This window comes from Homo sapiens, chromosome 6 (genome assembly GCF_000001405.40).
Source record: "Homo sapiens chromosome 6, GRCh38.p14 Primary Assembly".
NCBI classification, from domain to species: Eukaryota; Metazoa; Chordata; class Mammalia; order Primates; family Hominidae; genus Homo; species Homo sapiens.
Window position 1 is genome coordinate 150,017,283 of NC_000006.12, and position 19,507 is coordinate 150,036,789.

General features: G+C 50.0%; 1 protein-coding gene and 1 pseudogene across 1 annotated transcript; one reads left to right on the forward strand and one right to left on the reverse strand.

The window, feature by feature from the left end:
* On the reverse strand, positions 1,052–8,250 carry RAET1L (retinoic acid early transcript 1L). The gene is made up of 5 exons (NM_130900.3): positions 8,105–8,250; positions 4,698–4,961; positions 3,623–3,904; positions 2,826–2,957; positions 1,052–1,573 (listed from the first exon to the last, which is right to left on the reverse strand). The coding sequence occupies exons 1-4, from the start codon at positions 8,187–8,189 to the stop codon at positions 2,848–2,850; spliced, it is 741 nt and encodes a 246-aa protein (NP_570970.2). The 5' UTR covers positions 8,190–8,250; the 3' UTR covers positions 1,052–1,573; positions 2,826–2,847.
* Positions 15,487–16,284, forward strand: RAET1M (retinoic acid early transcript 1M (pseudogene); annotated as a pseudogene).

Consider the following 19,507-nt stretch of genomic DNA (forward strand, 5'->3'; position numbering starts at 1 on the left):
CGCGGCTTCCCAAAGAGCATTTTTTCATGTTCGTTGGCCACTTGCAGGTCTTCTTTTGCAAAGTGTCTGTTCACATTCTTTGCTTATTTTTTAATTGGAATTTTGTTCCTGCTTGTTGAGTTGTTTAAGTTCCGTGTAGATTCTGGATATTAGAGCTTTGCCAGATGCATAGATTGCAGATATTTCTCCCATTCTATAGGCTGTTTACTGTGTTGCTAATTTCTTTTACTGTGGAGAAGCGCTTTAGTTTAATGAGGTCACATTTGTCAATTTTTGTTTTTGGTTGCAAATGCTTTTGGTGTCTTCATCATGATATCTTTGTCAGGCTGTATGTCCAAAGTGGCATTTCCTAGGTTATCTTCCAGGATTTTTATAGTTTTAGGACTTACATTTAAATCTTTAATTCATGTCGAGTTATTTTACATATATGGTGAAAGGTAGAGGTTCAGTTTCGTTCTCCTACACATGGCTAGCCAGTTATCCCAGCACCATTTATTGAATTAGGACTCTTTCCTCATTGCTTTTTTTGTTGATTTTGTTGAAAGTTAAAAGGTGTGAAGGTTTCTTTCTGAGCTGTCTATTCTGTTCCACTGATCTAAGTGTCTATTTTGGTACCAGTACCATTCTGTTTTGATCACTGTAGCCTTATATTATAGTTTGAAGTCAGGCTATGTGGTGTCTCTGGCTTTGTTCTTTTTGCTTATGATTGTTTTGGCTATTTGGGCTCTTTTTTAACTCCAAAGAACTTTTAGATTAGATTTGTCTAATTTTGTGGAAAATGACATTGGTATTGATAGAGATAGTGTTGCATCTATAAATTGCTTTTGGAAGTATGGCCATTTTAGCTATATTGATTCTCCAACCCATGAGCATGAAATATTTTTCCATGTATTTGTTTTGTCTCTGATTTTTTTCAGCCATGTTTTGTAGATTCTCTTTTTCCACACAAAGTCTGGCAGAATCACTCATTTATTACTCCATATCATGGAGGAAAAATGAAATAACATTAATTCTCTACTGAGTAATACAACAAAATTCTAAACTCAGTAGGTTTTTGGGAAATATAACTCTTTATTTAAATATCAGTACACAGCAATAAATTACTAAAGGAAACAATCATTAATATAAATTTTTTTCTTATTAAATAATTAAACAATTCTCTTTCAGGACATGGAAAGAATCCCTGGAGGTCTGAAGTCTAACATGATTGTTTTACTGACAATCATGTCAGTAATGAAAGAAAGAAATCATCATTCAAAGAAGTACTTGATTTTCCAAACAAAAAGAGAAGAAAGAAAATGTTGACATATCTTGTTTAGTCAGCCAGAACTTTAAGTGCAGGAATTCCATCAGGTAGCACCAAGAGAAAATTGCATAATATGTTAGGAATAATCACTGGTTAAATTGTTGGCAAAAGGAATCAAGGCAGTGAATGAGCTATTGGGTCCATGGTGTCATCATCATCTGCTGGAGGCTGCTGGACATACACCGTAGGTGGTGGGCAGCTGGCCAGACAGAAGGGCGAGGTTGATCAAGACCGTGCTCACAGGGGCTTTTTGGTATCATCTTTAACCTTCAGAAAGGACCCAAATGTTGGTTTAAGAGGCAGAGAACCCGGATCACTTTTCCACGGTAATCTTTCCCTAGTCACTCTATGTCTCAGAGCCCCCTGCACTAAGGGACCTATTTTTCCCTTGAGCCCCAACCCTGGCGACTGCAGCTTGGACCTACCTCTTTCCTCCTTTGTCACATCACAGAGTCAGCCCAGGCCCTGCACCTGACCAGGGGATGGAGTGGAGGGGCCCACAGGTCTGAAGCTGGTAGTGATGGGTCCGCTCCCTCACTCAAGGCCCTCTTTATCATCTGATGACAGGGTCTAAAACATGGCAAGGGGTGGGACAGACTTCCAAAGAGAGGGCTCTGTATTCCTGTGCCCTTGGCCTTTGGTGGGCCTGCAGGCAAACATCCTTCTTTCCCCTTCTTCTTGAGCATCACCTCACACTGGGAGCAGCACCCATAGTTCTGAAGGTGACTGTCCCTGTTCCACCTTTTCCATTCCTTATCCAGCCCAGTGGTGCCCGTGGAACCCCAGCAGCAGCTCAGATGCTCCTTCCTCTGAGTCCACTCTGCTCCTGGCAGGGCTATGACTGGGCTCAGGATCTGGGGTGTGCAGGAGTGTGATGGCAGGGGAGCTGCCTCAGGGCCCAGACTCAAACCCCACGGGTACATGGGACTGACTTTTTAAAAATCCTTCTCTTGAGCAGCCTCTACTCTTCACCTTCCACCTACTTTCTGTGGGAAGGCAGCCCTGCACTCCCTCCTTTTCAATTAGGTGTACCAAGGCTCTCCCAGCCCCCTCCTCCTGGGATTACACCCAGATCTCTCTTAGCCTCAGAGATGGAATCCCCCTTCCCCTGTCACACCTCATGTAAAGCTACCATGATGCACCTAACCCAATTAAGAGGACTGCCCATGTCTGAATTCCTGCTGCCTGCAGGCCACACACCCTTCCTGAATAGGAACCTGCTCTGAATCAGGCCTGAACTTGCTAAACCTTCTCAAGCTCAACAGACCCTGAGCCTTGGTATGGGCCCCTCCCTTTCCCTCTGGACTCTGAAGGTGAGAAACCATCAGAACTCAGGGCTGAGCTGCCCAGGTCATTGCCAACATTGCCAACAGGCAACACAAGGTCTCATTCACCTGTCTCATGTTAGGATGAGAAGGTCCCAGCCACGGGGAGGGGCGGGACTCCGGGAATTCTCTTTCCCCATCCTGCCTCCTCACCCACCTGCTCCTTGCTCCACTTCCAATTCTGCCCACAGTACCTGTCACTCTAAAGGACTCTCCTCAGATGCCAGGGAGGATGAAGCAGGGGAGGATGATGAGGAGGCAGCAAAGGATGAGGGTGGTGGCTGTGGCCCTGAGTTGGGTTGTGCCTGAGGACATGGCGAGTGGTGCTGAAATGGAAACACAAAAGTGACAACCCTTGTCCAGGCCCCAAATCTGAGGAGACACCTCCTCAGTTCCTGCCACCCTAGGTCATCCTGGAAGGCAAAAGTTTTGTCCCCTCCCCCCTGGTGTGGGGCAGCCAGTATGACAGGTCCTGGCTTAGGAAGGGAGACGGGGTGTGTCTTGTCCTCAGGGAGCTCACACAGCTGCTGAGGGAAGCAAGGTGACAACACACCCCACCCTCCTGCTGTGGGGGAAGAGGAGGTGATGCCCCAGAGTTGGGGAGGGGAGGATCTCTGGCTGGTGTTGGAAGTGGTTTTGATGGATTTCCAGAACCAGACCAGGGAAAGGAAAGGAAAAGTGATTCTCAAAAGAGGAAACACTAAGGAAAAAGTTCTGAAAACAGTGACACCTGCAGTTTCAAGGCTGGTGAGAAATCCACAGTGTGGGGAGCAGAAGCAAGTGCAGTGAGGAATAGGAGTCAGGAGGGAGAAGGAAGAGGAGGGTGGGAGGGCACAGGCATGCCAGTAACCCCAGGAGGAGGGCCCGACGAGGAGGTCATTTTAACATAAACGTGTACACTGGGATGATTGAAGCTGAACTCAAGAACTAACTTCTTGAGATCCCCATTTCTGATCTCATTTAAGATCCCCGTTTCTTTTTCTCCTGTTACCTCCTGCACTTGGCTCCAGGGTGCTGTCCATGCCCATCAAGAAGTCCTCAAGCCATCCTATGCAGTCTCCCATTGAGATGTAATGGAAGGACATGGCCACATCCTTGTCATTCTCCCACTTTTCTTTCATCTTTCTGGCTCCAGGATGAACCGTTGTCCACATTCTCTTCTCTGAGTCAAAGAGTAGGAAGGTCTGTCCATCGATACTGAACTGCCAAGATCCACTGCTGTGTCCTTCAGCTTTCTGCTCACAAGACATCCTTGCCTGCAGGGTGAGGGGTTCTGCCCCCATCAGAGAGAGATCAGCTCTGATCTTGACAAATTTTGCACCCCCATCCTGTTCCCCTTACAATTTGCTGGCCTTACTCTCTCTGCTACATCTTGGCCTTGCCTCTAGACTCTTGAGGGGTAAGATGACCTTCCCATTTGTATTTTTTTTTTTTTTTTTGAGAAAGGGTCTCGCTCTGTCACCCAGGCTGGATGGAGTGCAGTGGCGCGATCTCGGCTCACTCAGCCTCCTAAGTAGCTAGGACTACAGGCGCCCGCCACCATACCCGGCTATTTTTTTGTATTTTTAGTACAGACAGGGTTTCACTGTGTTAACCAGGATGGTCTCGATCTCTTGACCTTGTGATCCGCCTACCTCAGCCTCCCAAAATGCTGGGATTACAGGCTTGAGCCACTGCACCTGGCTTTTTTTTTTTTTTTTGAGACAAAGTCTCACTCTGTTGCCCAGGCTGGAGTGCAATGGCACCACCTCGGCTCACTGCAGCGTCTGCCTGCCGGGTTCAAGGGATCCTCCTGCCTCAGCCTCCCAAGTTGCTGGGATTACAGGCATGCGCCACCATGCCTGGCTAATTTTTGCATTTCGGTAGAGACAGTGTTTCACTATGTTGGTCAGGCGGTCTCGAATTCCTGACCTTGTGATCGGCCCACCTCTACCTCACAAAGTGCTGGGACTACAGGCGTGAGCCACCGTGCCCAGGACCCTTTTGTATTTTTACATGAAAACTATAAATGCCTCTAACCTACCACTGTATCTGCTCCCTGCTGTCCTGGGCCATCTGAAACTTACCCTTGGGTGTGTAATTCTCCAGCTGAATGTCAAGCAGTTGCTCTGTAAGTATGTCCACCACCTCTCTCAGTACTGGGTTCTGTGCTTTCCAGGCCATTGTGACATTTAGTTTCTTCCCCAGGGGACTGACGGGTGTGACTGTCTTGTTGCCACAGTCATAGTGAAGAAAAGTCTTTTCATCCACCTGGCCTTGAACCGCACACCACCGTGGTCCAGGTCTGAACTTAGGGATGACGGTGATGTCATAGCAAAGAGAGTGAGGGTCTGTGGAGAAAGGCAGGTGAGGGGTGGGTGGGGAGGAAAAGACCCCTAGTTAGCCCCCCTCCACGCTGTGTCAATAAGAGGATGCCTCTGGCAGGCTGGGCTGGCCCAGGAAGGAGTGCCCCCTCCAGAACTGTGGTGTCTACAAGTTTAAGGCGAGTGCTCGCCCCTTGCATGAGGACAAGGAGGAGGAGGAGGAGGAAGTCTCTGTCTGCTGAGAAACCACATGTCCCCAGACATGTCCCACTGCCCCTCTGCCCACATCAGTCAACACATGACCTTGCTAGAAAGGTGCCAGGCCTCTCTAGCAAGAGAGGAGGAAGGGCCTGGATGGCAGAGGATCTTCAGCAGTAGCCCACGTGGACTGCGGGAGGTGGGAGAGGGTGTGGGTCCACCCCTGTGGATGCTGGTGCTGGTTGAACAGAGTGAGGATGGAACCCCGTTGGATAAAGAAGAGTTAATTATCATGGTCACAGGATGTAACATGTTGGCAAAGCCCCTGGTGATGGCATGCATCTGCTATGAGGAGGCCTTCCTGAAACCTTGGACAAAGAGATGGTCCACACAGCAAGAAATGGAAAATCTGAAAGTCTAAGGCAGGTAGTGGAGGGAGAGATCACAGGCTCAGAGAAGTGCCCATGCCAGAGGGGTCTAAGTGTGAAAATCCAGAACAATGTCCATCCACTGTGCTTATGGGAAACCTGGAGGACTCCTGTTTACCCAGCATATAAAGAAGGCCCCATGAGAAGGCACCAGAATGGAATGAAGCTTAGGGATGCCTATTGCTGAAGGCCAGGGTTGGGGGTAGGAGATGCTGTTCCTGAAATCTGCTCCCAGAGTAATGGGATGAACAATTCTGAAATTCCAAATTCCAGGTGGAGGCTGTCAACTGTCAGGAGCAAGGAGGGTGCAATGATGGAAATGATTAGAGAAGTCACAATGCCAGCTGGGGACCTCAGTTATACAAAGTTATGCCCATGGCTCATAGAACAAAGGGGTCCAAAGTCCAAAAGAGATGGAAACCCACCCCGGATACTGCTGGATTTAAATAATTACAAGAAACAGAGATAAACCAAATCAGGAGGCTGAAAGTAGCCAGTCCATCAAGAACGAGGCTGCTTTGCCTAATTTGCAGAATGAAGCCACTTCTCAGACCCTGAACCCATGACTATAAGAAGACACCAGTTTCTAGTGAGGAAGGACCCTTTAACCCTGCAGCCAGGACAGTGAGTCCTTGTGGCCTTCTCCAGAGATATTTATGGCCAATAGAGTTTGCTGTGAAGGGCAATTTTGTAAACATGTAAAGGTGTTCAGGGAATATATTCTCCATTGTAACTACTCAACTCTGCTGTTGAAGCTCAAAAGCAGCCATAGACAATCCATGAATGATGAGCGAGGCTGGACCTACCTTAAGTGCCCAATGACCCAAGACCCCCTAAGATCCTAGAGGTACATGTGGTCACAATGTCTAATTGGAGAATCACAACAGAGATTCCATGTGAATATTCAGAGACAAGGCAATGCCACTCACAGCAAGGAAATCGCAACATTAAGCAGTGGCTCCTGTAGAGTACTGCACCTTGGCAGAGATGGGGCCTTTTGCCATGCATATAAAGAAGGCCCCATGACAAGGCACCAGAATGGAATGAAGCTTAGGGATGCCTATTCCTGAAGGCCTCAGAGCTGCCCATTACTGGTGGGCTCCTCGCCCTCTAGGTCATTAGGAAGATAGGCCCAGCAGTGAGAAGATGCAGGTGGTTCTTCTGGGATGGGCAGGAGCAGGGCCACCGGGAACCAAGAAGTTGCACAAGCAGTTGGACCTGATCCCCAGGACACCACGTGGCTGCACCCACTCACCCTCAGCTCACACCTGAGGCTTCAGGGAGGGTACCTGATGGTCCCCATGGATGCCACTCAGCACAAAGGAGGGGAGAATAAGCCCCCAACTATGGGACCCCCACTCCCATCACATCCACACCACCCAGAAGCCACAGGCAAGGTAGGGCCACCTTCTACTTTCCAACTGACATCAGAGACATCACTTGGAGATGACACCCTAGGGGATGGGGCACTGGGACACTGTAATCCCCTGATCTGGGATCAGCAACCTAGGACAGGGTCCAAATCTGGTCCCCCCTCTTTGAAGGTTGCCATTGCCTGCTGTTGCTCTACAAAGGGACAGGACTGGACACAGAGACGGAGAACCCATGGCCTGCAAAGATCACAGGGCATCCTTCCTCCCTTTCTAGAAAGGGTTTGCTGACCCCTGTCTACACAGTGACTATTCTCTATGACGCTGACACCCCCGTAGGAAGAACAGGCGGTCTGGGCCCCAAGGGCAGAAGTGGGTGCCTCTACTCACCAGAGTTCCCAGGGTCATCCTGGAGGAAATGGTGCTTCCCATCCCCCCTGCACAGGTTCTGAGGGGAGCTTGGGGTGTGTTTGTTGGGGTGTGTCCTCAGGCAAGAGGCAGAAGGTGCGACGTGGTGTAGGAGGTGGTGAGGTACCCTTCATGGATGGGGAGACCTCAGGGGTGACCAGCTGGGCTGAGGTGGGCAGTAAGAGGATGTGACCTGGGTGGTGGCAGTGGATGGTGAGGGGAGGGGTGGCGGGTATCTGCTGAGCCCCTGGGTGCAGGTGAGTGTCTACAGGAAAAGTGCGGGGAAAACAAAGGCAGGGAGTCCTGGGGGTGCTGGAGGGTTTGTGTGGTAGAGAGCAGGTGAGAGCAGAGCAGGCTTGTGGCTGGTGGGGGCGTCTGTGATTGTATCCCTGTGGTACCCCCCTTCACCCAGTCCTGACCCCAGCTCTGTTCCCGGGGGGGCTCTGGTTTCTCCTTCCGAAAGGCGGGTGGGACTGCCGGGCTGCACTAGGAATCCGGGCCCCACCTAGCCCTCGCAGCCCTCTGGCCCCTCCACCCTCCTGCCAGCCTCGTTTTCACCCTGCTCTTTTTCGCCCCTACTGGGGCAAGAACAGCCTTGGGGAGTGGACCCGGCGGGAAGGAGCCCAGGAGGGGAACTGAGCTGGGGGCGCAGTTCGGGGAGATCTCCCTTGTCCTTCCAGAAGCCTTCCCTCCTCTGAAACCCGCTGCAGTCCACAGTCCCTCAGGTTTGGCCCCCGCCCCGCTTAGGCTCCATCCACCAGCTCACCGTCTCGCCTAGCCCGGGACCAGCCGAACAGCAGGAACAGAAGCGGGAGGCACAGAAGCAAAGCTGGGATGGCGGCTGCTGCCATTGGGGACCAGGAGGGCTGGGGACAAGAGATTTAATCAAGGTGGATCCTGGAAGATGAAATCACCTCTGTGCTGAAAGGCTGGCTTATATACTGTTAGTTACTGGGGAATGTACCGGGGAATGAGTCACCTCGATTCTGAAAAGCCAGATTTTAATGCTACTGGGCGTAGTCACTGGGCGCGTTCCACCTCTTCGTTTCATTGTCTGGACGAAATCCAGTTTCCATGCTAGTGTCCCTTCCCTTCTTCACCCGCTCCGGCAGCTTGGTGGCCTCGTGCCCGGGCCCCACTCCTGCCAGGACACGATTCCTTCCACGACAGACTCATTTAATCATTATAGCATTTTTTATTAATGGTGAAGAAACGTGCAGAGGAATATTCAGCGGCCTCGGCGTCTCCTTGTCCCCGCCTGGGTCCGCGGCACTCTCCCTCCTTCCGCTTGCGCCGCGGGGTCCCTGGCTCACCCCGCCCTGGGCACAGCCATGGGCCTGTTCGCGTCCCCTCCACTACTTCCCCAGTCCCCGGTGGGCGTGGTTACAGTCCGGGCTGGGTTTTATTTTTTATTTCTTTATCTATTTATGTATTTGGAGATGGGGTTTCTCTCTTATTGCACAGGCTGGAGTGCAACGGCCCGATGTCGGCTCGCCGCAGCCTTGTCTCCTGGGTTCAAGCGATTCTCTTGCCTCAGCTTCTGGAGTAGCTGGGATTACGGGTGCCCACCACCAAGCCCGGCGAATTGTTTGTAGTTTTGGTAGAGATGGGGTTTCACCTTGTTGGCCAGGCTGGTCTCAAACTCCTTTCCTCAGGTGATCCACCCACCTCGGCCTCCCAAAGTGCTGGGATTACAGGCATGAGTCAGCGTGCCCGGCCTGGGCTAGGTTTTATTACAGAAACAGCAGGTAGGGTTTCAGAGGTTCAAAACAACATATTGTATAGTAAACAATTGGTGAAGATGGTAAATTCTATGTTCTATGTTTTTACCAAAATTAAGCAGCTTTAAAAATTATCTTAACAATTTATGTCTTGCTTCTGCTTCACCCAGTGCAGACTGGCCAAAAGGCTGCTCATTAAAATCGAGGACAGCATTGAGGACCTCATCCCTAGAATCTCAACCTGTGACACGCTTGCTGATTTAGAAAGCTCCTCAGAGAGATTACCTCTGAGCTCCCAGTTCAGCAGCCGCCCTGGCCCAGGTCCACCGATGGCACAGGGGGCTCAGCAGAGCAGGTTCAACTGAAAGTTCCTAGTGGTTCCCAACTGTCAGCGCATTCTGCTGGCCTCTTCCCCCTGGGCAAAGAGCCAGCCATCCTTCAAAGCCGGGCACAAATACCCCCTCCCATGTGTGTCCTGCATGTTCCCACAATACAGAACACCCTCCTGCTCCCTGAGACCTGGGTTCACAGTGGGTGCATCCAGATCTCCCTGTGTGACAATTGCTCACACATTTCTTTGCCTCTCTGCTAGAAGCATGAGGTCTTTGAGAATATACTACATCCCTTCCTAAAAAGACCTAGTGAACAACTTGCTCAATCATGTAATCAATTGTGTTTCCACGAAGAGCAGGAGCCGAGGGAGGAGTCTACACACGTGTGGGGTTCACTTTCCAGCACACCAATCCGTGGCCAACCACACCTGAATCCATGGCTGCACCCACACCTCTGCTCAGCCCCTAGATGGTCACTGGACTCATTATCAAAGGGGCAACCCCAAGTGCCCCCTTGTCTTAGTCACCATGAAGGCATCTAGACCTGTGGGCAGAAGGCAGAGGGAGGTGGGGGGCCCAGCGATCCCTGGCTGTTGGGATAAGGAATGGGCAGAGCCCCTGAGTCCCACACTGCCCCCAGCCACTCAGCCTTCTCCCTATTAAATGAGTAAAATAGACACAGACCTTCTTCTCCACACAGTTGTCATGTGGGGAGGATGCACACCTGGTGACCAGCAATCCCCAGAGCCCTGAGGCTGCGGGAAAGGGGAGGAGGCCTAGACCAAGCCCAGGGACTGTCTCTGCTTCTGCACAGGGGGATGGGATAGCAGCCCCTCTGTGACTGTGCAGGGACACAGGAGCCTAGAAGTTTCTGGCCTGATGCACTAGAGCCTCTGTCCAGGAGGGGCCATGTGGAGGGTGGTCTGGAGGACAACAGACACACGGGGGTGGGCAGTTCTCAGATCTGAGAGGGGCAGAGCTTGGCAGGTCCAGGGATCTGTGTGTGAGAAGTGCCTCCCATGCATAGGGCTGGGAACAGGAGCGTTTGAAAGGAGGGTACTGGGAAGGCCCTGGCAGCCCCCACCCCTGAGGCTGGGTGACCTGGGCCAGTGACCGGGGGACTGGGGGAACAGGAGGAAGGCAGAAGCCTGGCAGAAGAGTCCCAGGCAGCACAGCCAGGTGACAGTAGGAGGGGACTCTGTGCACACCTGGGCCCTCCTGCCTCACACCTGCTGCAGACTCTCGGCCACCAGATTCAGGCCAGCCCAGGATGGGGATAGACGTGGCTGAAAGGTGATTATAATGGCCGTGATCTAGAGAGCATGCATTCAGACATGGAAGTCAGCTGGCATTGTGGCTGAATATTCTTGTGCAAGTTTCTTCACCTTTCTGGGCATGGATGTCCACATGTGGAAATTAATACTATGAACACAGAGGAAATGAGCAGTTTATGCCAGGAACCCTGTCCTTGCACATGCTAAGGACTCAGGGAAGGTTTCCTATTTCACATGTGAGCCCTGCCTTCCATAACATCAGCAAAGGCCAGACCCAACCAGATGACAGCTGGAGCCCTGCGATCATGCCATGGCCTCTTCATGGCCCTGGGGGCTCTTTGAATGGGTGTAAATGAAGGCAAAGACTGGACCCAGAGAGGACGGTGGTTTTACTCTCCATCACCAGGTAAGCCTAACATGATTTAAGGGTGGCTGGAGGCTGAGCAAATGACTGAATGAATGAGACAGTTGTGGGAGTGAATGGGGCTCAGGGGAAAACCCCAGGTGCAGAAGTGGAGCTGGAGTGGAGGTTGTAACCCCCAGAGGCCTGAAGGTGAGGATATCGTGGTTGGAGACCTCACTGCTGGCACAATTTGGAAATGTGAATGCCTGCCTGGGCGGCCACAAAGATTTTCCAAGGAAGAATAACTTTGGTTTGCAGCTGGTCTGGGCCCCAGCAGGATAAAATCTAGAAAACATTATTGAAGAAGGACAGCAAGCTGCTCTCTTTAGCCCCTTTGATTGAACCCAGAGGGTACAATTGTGAGTGGTTGGGGCAGGAAAACCTTGCCCTTTAAACTTTGTTTAAAGGAACGAGCCTGAAATCAGGAATGGAAATGGGAAAAGGAAGGGTCAGGAGGGAAGGGAAGGAGAAAAGAAGGGGTGAGGGGCAGATACAAAAAAAGGGTCAGAGCGATTCCTCTGGATCTGGAGAAAGAGCAGGTGGGTGGGGCGTGGACTGGCTCCAGCTGGTGGTTGGGAACCTGCCGAACCTAGCCCTGTAAAAGCCTGGGGGACGTGGTCGAGACTCAGCATTGCCACTGTGCTTCCTCCTGGGCTGTCCTCCTCCTGGCTCCAGGTTCCCAGCAGCAGTGGCCACCATCACTGTGTTGGTCCTCGAAGGAGTAATGGCAGGAGGAGAGCAGTGAGAGGGCTGGAGAGGGCGAGATGATGGCAAAGCGCCCCCTCTCCAGCCTCACCTGCCCTTGGGAACTGGGAGCCCTGGCCAGCAGCAGGAAGCTGTAGTCTGGAGTGGTGGGGAAGAGGGAGGTGAGGAGGGATGAAATGTTTTCTGGCAGATTCTATACAGCTGGGGCCGGAGAGCATCTGTAAACCAAGGTTACTCTTCCCTGGTCATGTCTGGTGCGGGAGGCGGGGGACCTTGTGTGGCTAGGGGTATGGGAAAGTGGATGGTTCCGCAGGGAGTCAACCCCAGACCCCCGCCCTCAGCAGCCACAGGCCTGCTCTGCTCTCATCCACTCTCCACCTCACAAACTCTCCAGCACCCCCAGGGCTCCCTGCCCTTGAACTTCCCCCTGCACTTTGCTGCAGACACTTACCTGCATCCAGGAGATCAGCAGACACTTCCCACCCCTCCCCTCACCGTTCACTGCCACCACCCAAGTCACATCCTTTTACTCCCTCTCTACCCAACCTTGTCACCTTTCGTCACCCCATAGGCCCACCTCACCCCCAAATCCATTGAAGGAGGCTTCAGTGAGGCAGGCGAATAGGGTCTGGATGTAGGGAACCTAAGGGTGATTTGCTCTGACTTCTTAGAAGTGAATCAAAAGGAGCCCCACCTCTCTGTGCCCAAGCAACAAAAGGACCAGAGGATACTCCCTTGACAATCCGCGACCTCTCCACTTTCAACTCTCTTGCAGATGAAAAGCAGAAATTACCTCTGATTGGTCCCCTTCTGCAACCAGTCTTCAGGTGCATAGGGTGTAACTTTGTAACTTCACTTCAGTCTCTGATTGTTCCCTTGGGCACAGGCCACTCTCTCATTTGCATAGTGTGTAACCAAGTAACCAATGGGAAACCACTAAGGGTATTCCAACACCAGAAAATTCTGTAACCAGCTGCATTCTTGAGGGGCTTCCCCCAGCCAGCTACCACTCGGTCAGGTGTACTTTAATTTCAGTAAGTCTGTGCTTTCATTTTTCCTTTTTATTCTTTCATTGTTTTGTTCGTGACCCTAGGAATGCTGGTGAGTAGAGGCATCCACTCTTCCCTTGGGTCCCAGCCCTGCCTGTTCTTCCTAATGGGGAGCCAGCATCATAGAAAATAGTCACTATGTAAACAGGGGTTGGCAAAACCTTTCTAGAAAGGGAAGGTGGGAGGCACTTTGATCTTTGCAGGCCATGGTTTCTCTGTCTCTGTGTCAAGTTTTGTTCCTTTATAGAGCAACAGCAGGCCAGGACAACCTGCAAATGACAGAGGGACCAGATTTGAACACTGTCCTAGGTTGCTGACCCAAATAAATGGATTACAGTGTCCCAGCAATTGGTGCCCCTTCCCTTAAGGTGTCATCTCCAAGTGGTGTCTCAGCTGCTGGTTGAAGAATCAGAAGTGGTTCCCATCCTGCCTGTGGCTTCTGGGTGGTTGGATGTAATGGCAGTGGGGTTTCATGGTTTGAAGCCTACTCTCCCCTCCTTGGCTGCTGAGTAGCTTCTTTGCTCTATGGAGGCCATCAGGGATCCTCCCAGAAACCACAGCTGTGATCTGAGGGTGAGGGATTGCAGCCATGTGGTGTCCTGGGGAGAGGAGCCAACTGATTGTGCAGCTTCTTGTTTCCCTGTGGCCTTGCTTCTGCCCATCCCAGGATAACCACCTTCGTATTCTCACTGCGGGGCCTATCTTCTTAATGACCTAGAGAGTGAAGAGCACACTCGGTGACAGGCAGCTCTGAGGCTGTGTGATCACTGCCCTCCCATGGCTAAAGGCCCCATCTCTGCCAGTACTCTACAGGAGCCACTTTTTAATGTTGGGATTTCCCTGCTGTCAGTGTCATTGCCTTGCCTCTGTAACACTAACCATCCATGTTGTGATTTTCCAATTAGTAATTGCAACCACAGGTACCTCTAGGAGATTAGGGTGTCCTGGGTCCTAGGATGCTCAAAACAGGTCCAGCCTCCTTCATCATTTATGGATTGTCTGTGAGTGCTTTTGAGCTACAACAGCAGAGTTAAGTAGTTATGACAGAGAATATATTCCCTGCAAACCTTTAAGAGTTTACAAAATCACCATTCACAGCAAACTCTAGAGGCCATAAATATCTATGCGGAAGGCCAGAAAGACTCATTGCACTTGAGGTGGGGTTGAAAGGTCCTTCCTCATTGGAACCTGGTGTCTCCTTCTAGTAATGGCTTCAGAGTCTGAGAAGTGGCTTGGTTTTGCAAGTTGGTCAGAGAAGCCCGGTTTTTAATAGACTGCCTAGTTTCAGCCTCCAGGTCATCCATCCTTGTGTTTAATGTTCACTTGTTATAATTATATCAATCCAGCTGTATCCGGGCTGGGTCTCTGTGTTGCTTGCCTCTCAGATCTCCTTGTTTTATATGAGCCATTGGCATAGCTCTCTGTGGCTTACGTCCCGAGCAGGCATTGTGACTTCTCCAATTCTTTCCATCATTGCACCTTCCACGCTACTGATAGTTGAGCCCAGGATTTTTCATCCCATTACTCCTGGGAGCCCATTTCAAAAACAGCATCTCCTGTCTGCAACCCTGGCCTTCAGCAACAGGCATCCCTGGGCTTCTTCCCATTCTGCTTCTTTCTCTCAGGGCCTTCTTTATATGTTGGGTGAACAGGAGTCCTCCAGGCTTCCCATGACCACCGTAGATGGACATTGTTCTGGATTTTCACACTCAGACCCCTCCAGCATGGGCACTTCTCTGACTCTTTGATCCCTTGCTCTGTTCCCTGCCTTAGAAGTTCTGGATTTTCTGTTTTTTGCTGTATGGATCATCTCTTTGTTCAAGGTTGCCAGAATGCATCCTCTTAGCAGATGGGCACCATCACCAGGTGCTTTACCAACATGTTAAATCCTGTGACCATGATAATTAACTCTCCATCATCCAACTTGGATTCTGTCCTCACCCCACCCTCAACATGTTCAGCATCCTCAGAGGCAGCCCCTCCCCTCTCCCACCTCCTGCTAAGGATCCTTTGCCATCCAGGCCCTTCCTCCTCTAGCAGGCCAGGCACCTCCCCGGCATGGTCATGTGTTAACAATGTGGACATAGGGGCACTGGGACATTTCTTGGGACATGTGGTTTCTCAGCAGGCAGGGTCTTCCTCCTCCTCCTTGTCTTCAAGCAAGGGAGGAGCACTCGCCTATACCTGGTGGAGGCCATAGCCCTGGAGAGGGGACTTCTTTTTCACTTTCTTTTTTTTTTTTTTTTTTTTTTTTGAGATGGAGTTTTGCTCTTGTTGCCCAAGCTGGAGTGCAATGGCGTGATCTTGGCTCACTGCGACCTCTGCCTCCTGGGTTCAAGCGATTCTCCTGCCTCAGCCTCCCAAGTAGCTGGGATTACAGGCATGCACCACCATACCCGACTAATTTTGTATTTTTAGTAGAGATGGGGTTTCTCGATGTTGGTCAGGCTGGTCTCAAACTCCCGACCTCAGGTGATCTGACCACCTCGGCCTCCCAAAGTGCTGGGATTACAGGCGTAGGCCACCAGGCCTGGCCAGGAGGGGACTTCTTACTTGGCCAACCCATCTCTCCAGAGGCATCCTCTTGCTGTCACAGTGTGGGGGAGCGGTGTCTAGCTGTCCTTTTACTCCCACCCAACCGTCACCTACATTTCTCCTGCTCAGGCCCTCACTCTCTTTGCTATGACGTCACCATCATCCCTAAGTTCAGATCTGAACCACGGTAGTGCGAGGTTCAAGGTCAGGTGGATAAAAAGATTTTTCTTCTCTCTGACTGTTGCAATAACACAGTTAAATCCTTCAGTTCCCTGCGGAAGAAAATAAATGTCACACGGGCCTGGAAAGCACAGAATCCAGTACTGAAAAAGGTGGTGGACATGCTCACAGAGCAACTGCTGGACATTCAGCTGGAGAATGACACACCCAGGGATAAGTTTAAAATGGTCCAGGACAGGAGGGAGCAGACAGTAGTAGGTTGGAGGCAATTATTGATTTCCTGTAGCAATATAAATCCGAGAGGGCCAGAGGCAAGGACAGGATATGGCAGCGAGAGCAAGAGCAGGAGGTTGGAAGTGGGACAGGGTGGTGGCACAGGATTTGTCAAGACCAGAGCTGATCTCTTTCCAAGGGGGCAGAACCCCTCACCCTGCAGGCCAGGATGTCTCGTGAGCGGGAAGGTGATGGACATAGTAGTGGATCTTGGCATTTAGACTTTGATAGACAGATCTTCCTCCTCTCTGACTCAGAGAAGAGAAAGTGGACAGTGATTCATGCTGGAGGCAGACAGAAGAAAGAGAAGTGGAAGAATGAAGGGAAGTGACCATGTTCTTCCAGAAGGTCTCCAAGGGACATTGCAAAAGCTAGCTTATGGACTTCCCCATTCACAGGGAGAAGAGGCTGGAGCTCGCAGGTAACTGACAGCAGAGCACTGGGAGCGCCCTGGAGATGCCGTTGAAGTACACCCTTGTGTGTGTGTGTGTGGGGGGGGTGTAGGTTTATGTGTGAGAGTGTGTGTGAGTGTGAGTGTGTGTGCGACTGTGAACATGACCCCCTCATGGGAGGCTCCTCCTAGTCATGCTGGCATGCCTGTGCTCTCCCATCCTCCTCTCCCTTCTCCCTCCTGACTCTTCTTCCTCACTGCACTTGCTTCTGCTCCACTCACTGTGGATTTCTCACCAGCCTCGAAACTGTGGGTGTCACTGTGTTTTCAGACCTTTCTCCTTAGTGTTCCCTCTCTTGAGAATTACTTTTCCTTTCCTCTCTGTGGTCTGTTTCTAGAAATCCATCAAAGCCACCTCCAATGGCAATGAACAAGCTTTTCAAACACTCAGCTATTGGTTTTGTTGAGTTCTCCAATGTTTTTCTCTTCTCTACTTCATTTATTTACACTTTTAATTTCTATTCTTTGTTTATTTTGAGTAGATGGCTTCTTTTTTGAGTTTCTTCAAGTGAAATATTAGGTTCTCAATTTGAGATTACTCCTTTGTTTCTTTTATCTTTCTCAATATATTCACACTGACAGCAATACATTTCCCTCTAAGGACTGCTTTAGCTACTTCTCATAAGTTATAATATGCTGTGTTTTTGTTTTAATTCACCTTAAAGTATTTTCTGATTTTCCTTGTCATTTTCTTCTTGATCATTTCATTTTTAAAGAGTGTTTTGGAAAATATTTTTGTCTTAAAGACCATATTGCCTGATGTTATTAATTTCAGGCCGGGCACTGTGGCTCACACCTGTAATCCCAGCACTTTGAGAGGCCGAGATTGGAGGATTGCTTGAGCCCAGGAGCAAGGCCAGCCTGGGCAACAAATCAAGACCCTGTCTCTAGAAACACAGACAAAAAATTGTTAATAGCAATCTCAACTGTCTTTCTTTACTATTGGTGTGCTTTATCTTTTTCATAGTTTTACTTTCAACCTACTTGTATCTTTGGATCTATATTGTATCTTTAGATCATTTATAAAATGCATTCTGTCAACCTCTGCTTTTGCTTTTGAGTATTTAATAGTTTGAGAGTTAATGGAATTACTGCTAAGGCAGAATTTACACCTGTCACCTTGCTCTTACTTTTCCATGTGTCCTATATCTTTCCTGTTGGTCTTTTCCACCATTATTTCCTTCCTTTGTGTTAAATAGATATTTTCTACTGCATCACTTTAGTTTCCTTTTGTTTCTTTTTCCTTGATTATTTTTAAAATCTTACTTTCTTAGTGGTTTTCCTGGGGAATAGCAATTAATATCTTAATTTATCACAACCTAGATTGGATTAAAAACAACTTTTAATCTTATTTTATGCTATTTTATTTTCTGAGGCAGGGTCTCACTCTGATACCCAGGCTGGCATGCAGTGGCAAGATCATAGCTCATTGCAGCCTTGACCTCCTGGGCGGACCAAGGCTGGCATGCAGTGGTATGATCATAGTTCACTGTAGCCTTGACCTCCTGGGCTGACCCAGGCTGGCATGCAGTGGCATGATCATAACTCACTGCACCCTTGACCTCCTGGGCTGACCTGGGCTGGCATGCAGTGGTGTGATCATAGCTCACTGTAGCCTTGACCTCCTGGCTCAAGCAATGTTTCCTCCTTGGCCTTACAAAGTGCTAAAAGCAGAGGGATGAGCTGCATGCTTAATTTTAATAGGATGCAAAATCTCTTCTCCAAGATTGCTCTGCTCCCTCCGCCATTTTAAGGTGGAAAAATGATAAATATAAAAAGTATATGATATGGATGCTGGGCAGAATCATTCTACCCTCACCCCTACCTCCCTGACAAGATGCGGGTCTGAGTCCCTGGAACCTCTGCATTGGGTTACATGGAAAGGGGAATGAAGGCTGCAGATGGAGCTGAGGTTGCTCATCATCTGTCCTGGAGATGGGGTAATTCTCTGGATTTCCCAGGGGTCCATTGTAACCACAGGATCTTTATATAGGAAGATGGGGACAGAAGAGGGAGAACGAGACAGAGGGCACACTGAGGACCCAGCCTGGTGGAGCTCCATTTGTAGGTGGGAAATGGGTCCTGTGCCATGGATGTGGGCAGCTGGAGAAGCTGGAAAAGGAAAGGAGGAGACAGGTTCTCTCTGAGAGCCTCCTGAAGGAACACAGCTCTGACAGCGCAGTGACGTTATCCCCCTGAGACCATTCGGACTTCTGAGCTCCAGAACCATAAGAAAATCAATATGTCTTGTGCTAAGCCACTAAATTTGCAGTATTTTTTTACAACAGCTATTGAAAGCTAACACTATCTGTTTTAAAGTGGTCCTTGCTTTAGGAAGAAAAAATTCAGGTGAGGAAGGCCTAGGATTGCTCAGGCAGGTGGAAATACTGCATTTTGAAAAAGATGCCTTTACATTTAAAAATGGTTAAGATGCAAACTTTCATGTTACATGTATCATGCCACAATTTAATTTGTGCGTGTGAGCATGTGTATGACCAGTCTGGAGTGCAGTGGCACGATCATAGTTCACTGAAACCTCAATCTCCTGGGCTCAAGGCTTTCTCCCCACTCAGTGTGGGAGAGTGGGGTGCAGGGTAGTCTGAGCCCCTCGGGTTGCTGTTTCCCATGCCCTGGCAGAAGCCTCAGTAGTAGTCATACTCCTGCCTTTACCATGCCATGTGGTAGATCGGTCCAGGGTCCAAGTGGGTCTTGGCTGTGAGTGCAATCGGGGCGAGTCATTCTGCCAGGCTTGGGGACTGTGCTACTCAGGAAAATTTTCTCATCAGCCACCCCAATCCTGTCCCAGATGGGAGGAGCAGTGAGTGCTGAGCCCAGGCTCGCTGCCTTCCCAATGCTCCCAGCATCACACCAGCTCCTTCCCAGACACTGCAGGGTCCAGGCTCACTGTGTTCACCATGCTCTCACCATTGGCTCCCCATCATCACTGCCCTCCCAGCATCCTCCCAGCCCCTCTAGGGCACTGCCTGACCAGGTGGGGGTTGGGTGAAGAGGCAGAGGTCAGGGCAAGACTCCTGGTCCAGATTGACTTTACGTTCCTCTCTGAAACGTGACTGCATTCCACATCCTGTTCCTCTGGCAACCTCAGTTGGGATCATCTGTAGGGCAGTGTAGAATCTGGATCGGTGATGACCAATTCCTGCCACCATGGCTTTTCAACTATATTGATTTTTCCTAAAATGGATAAACAGATTAGCAATAAGTTGTGGAAACACTGTTTTCCTTACT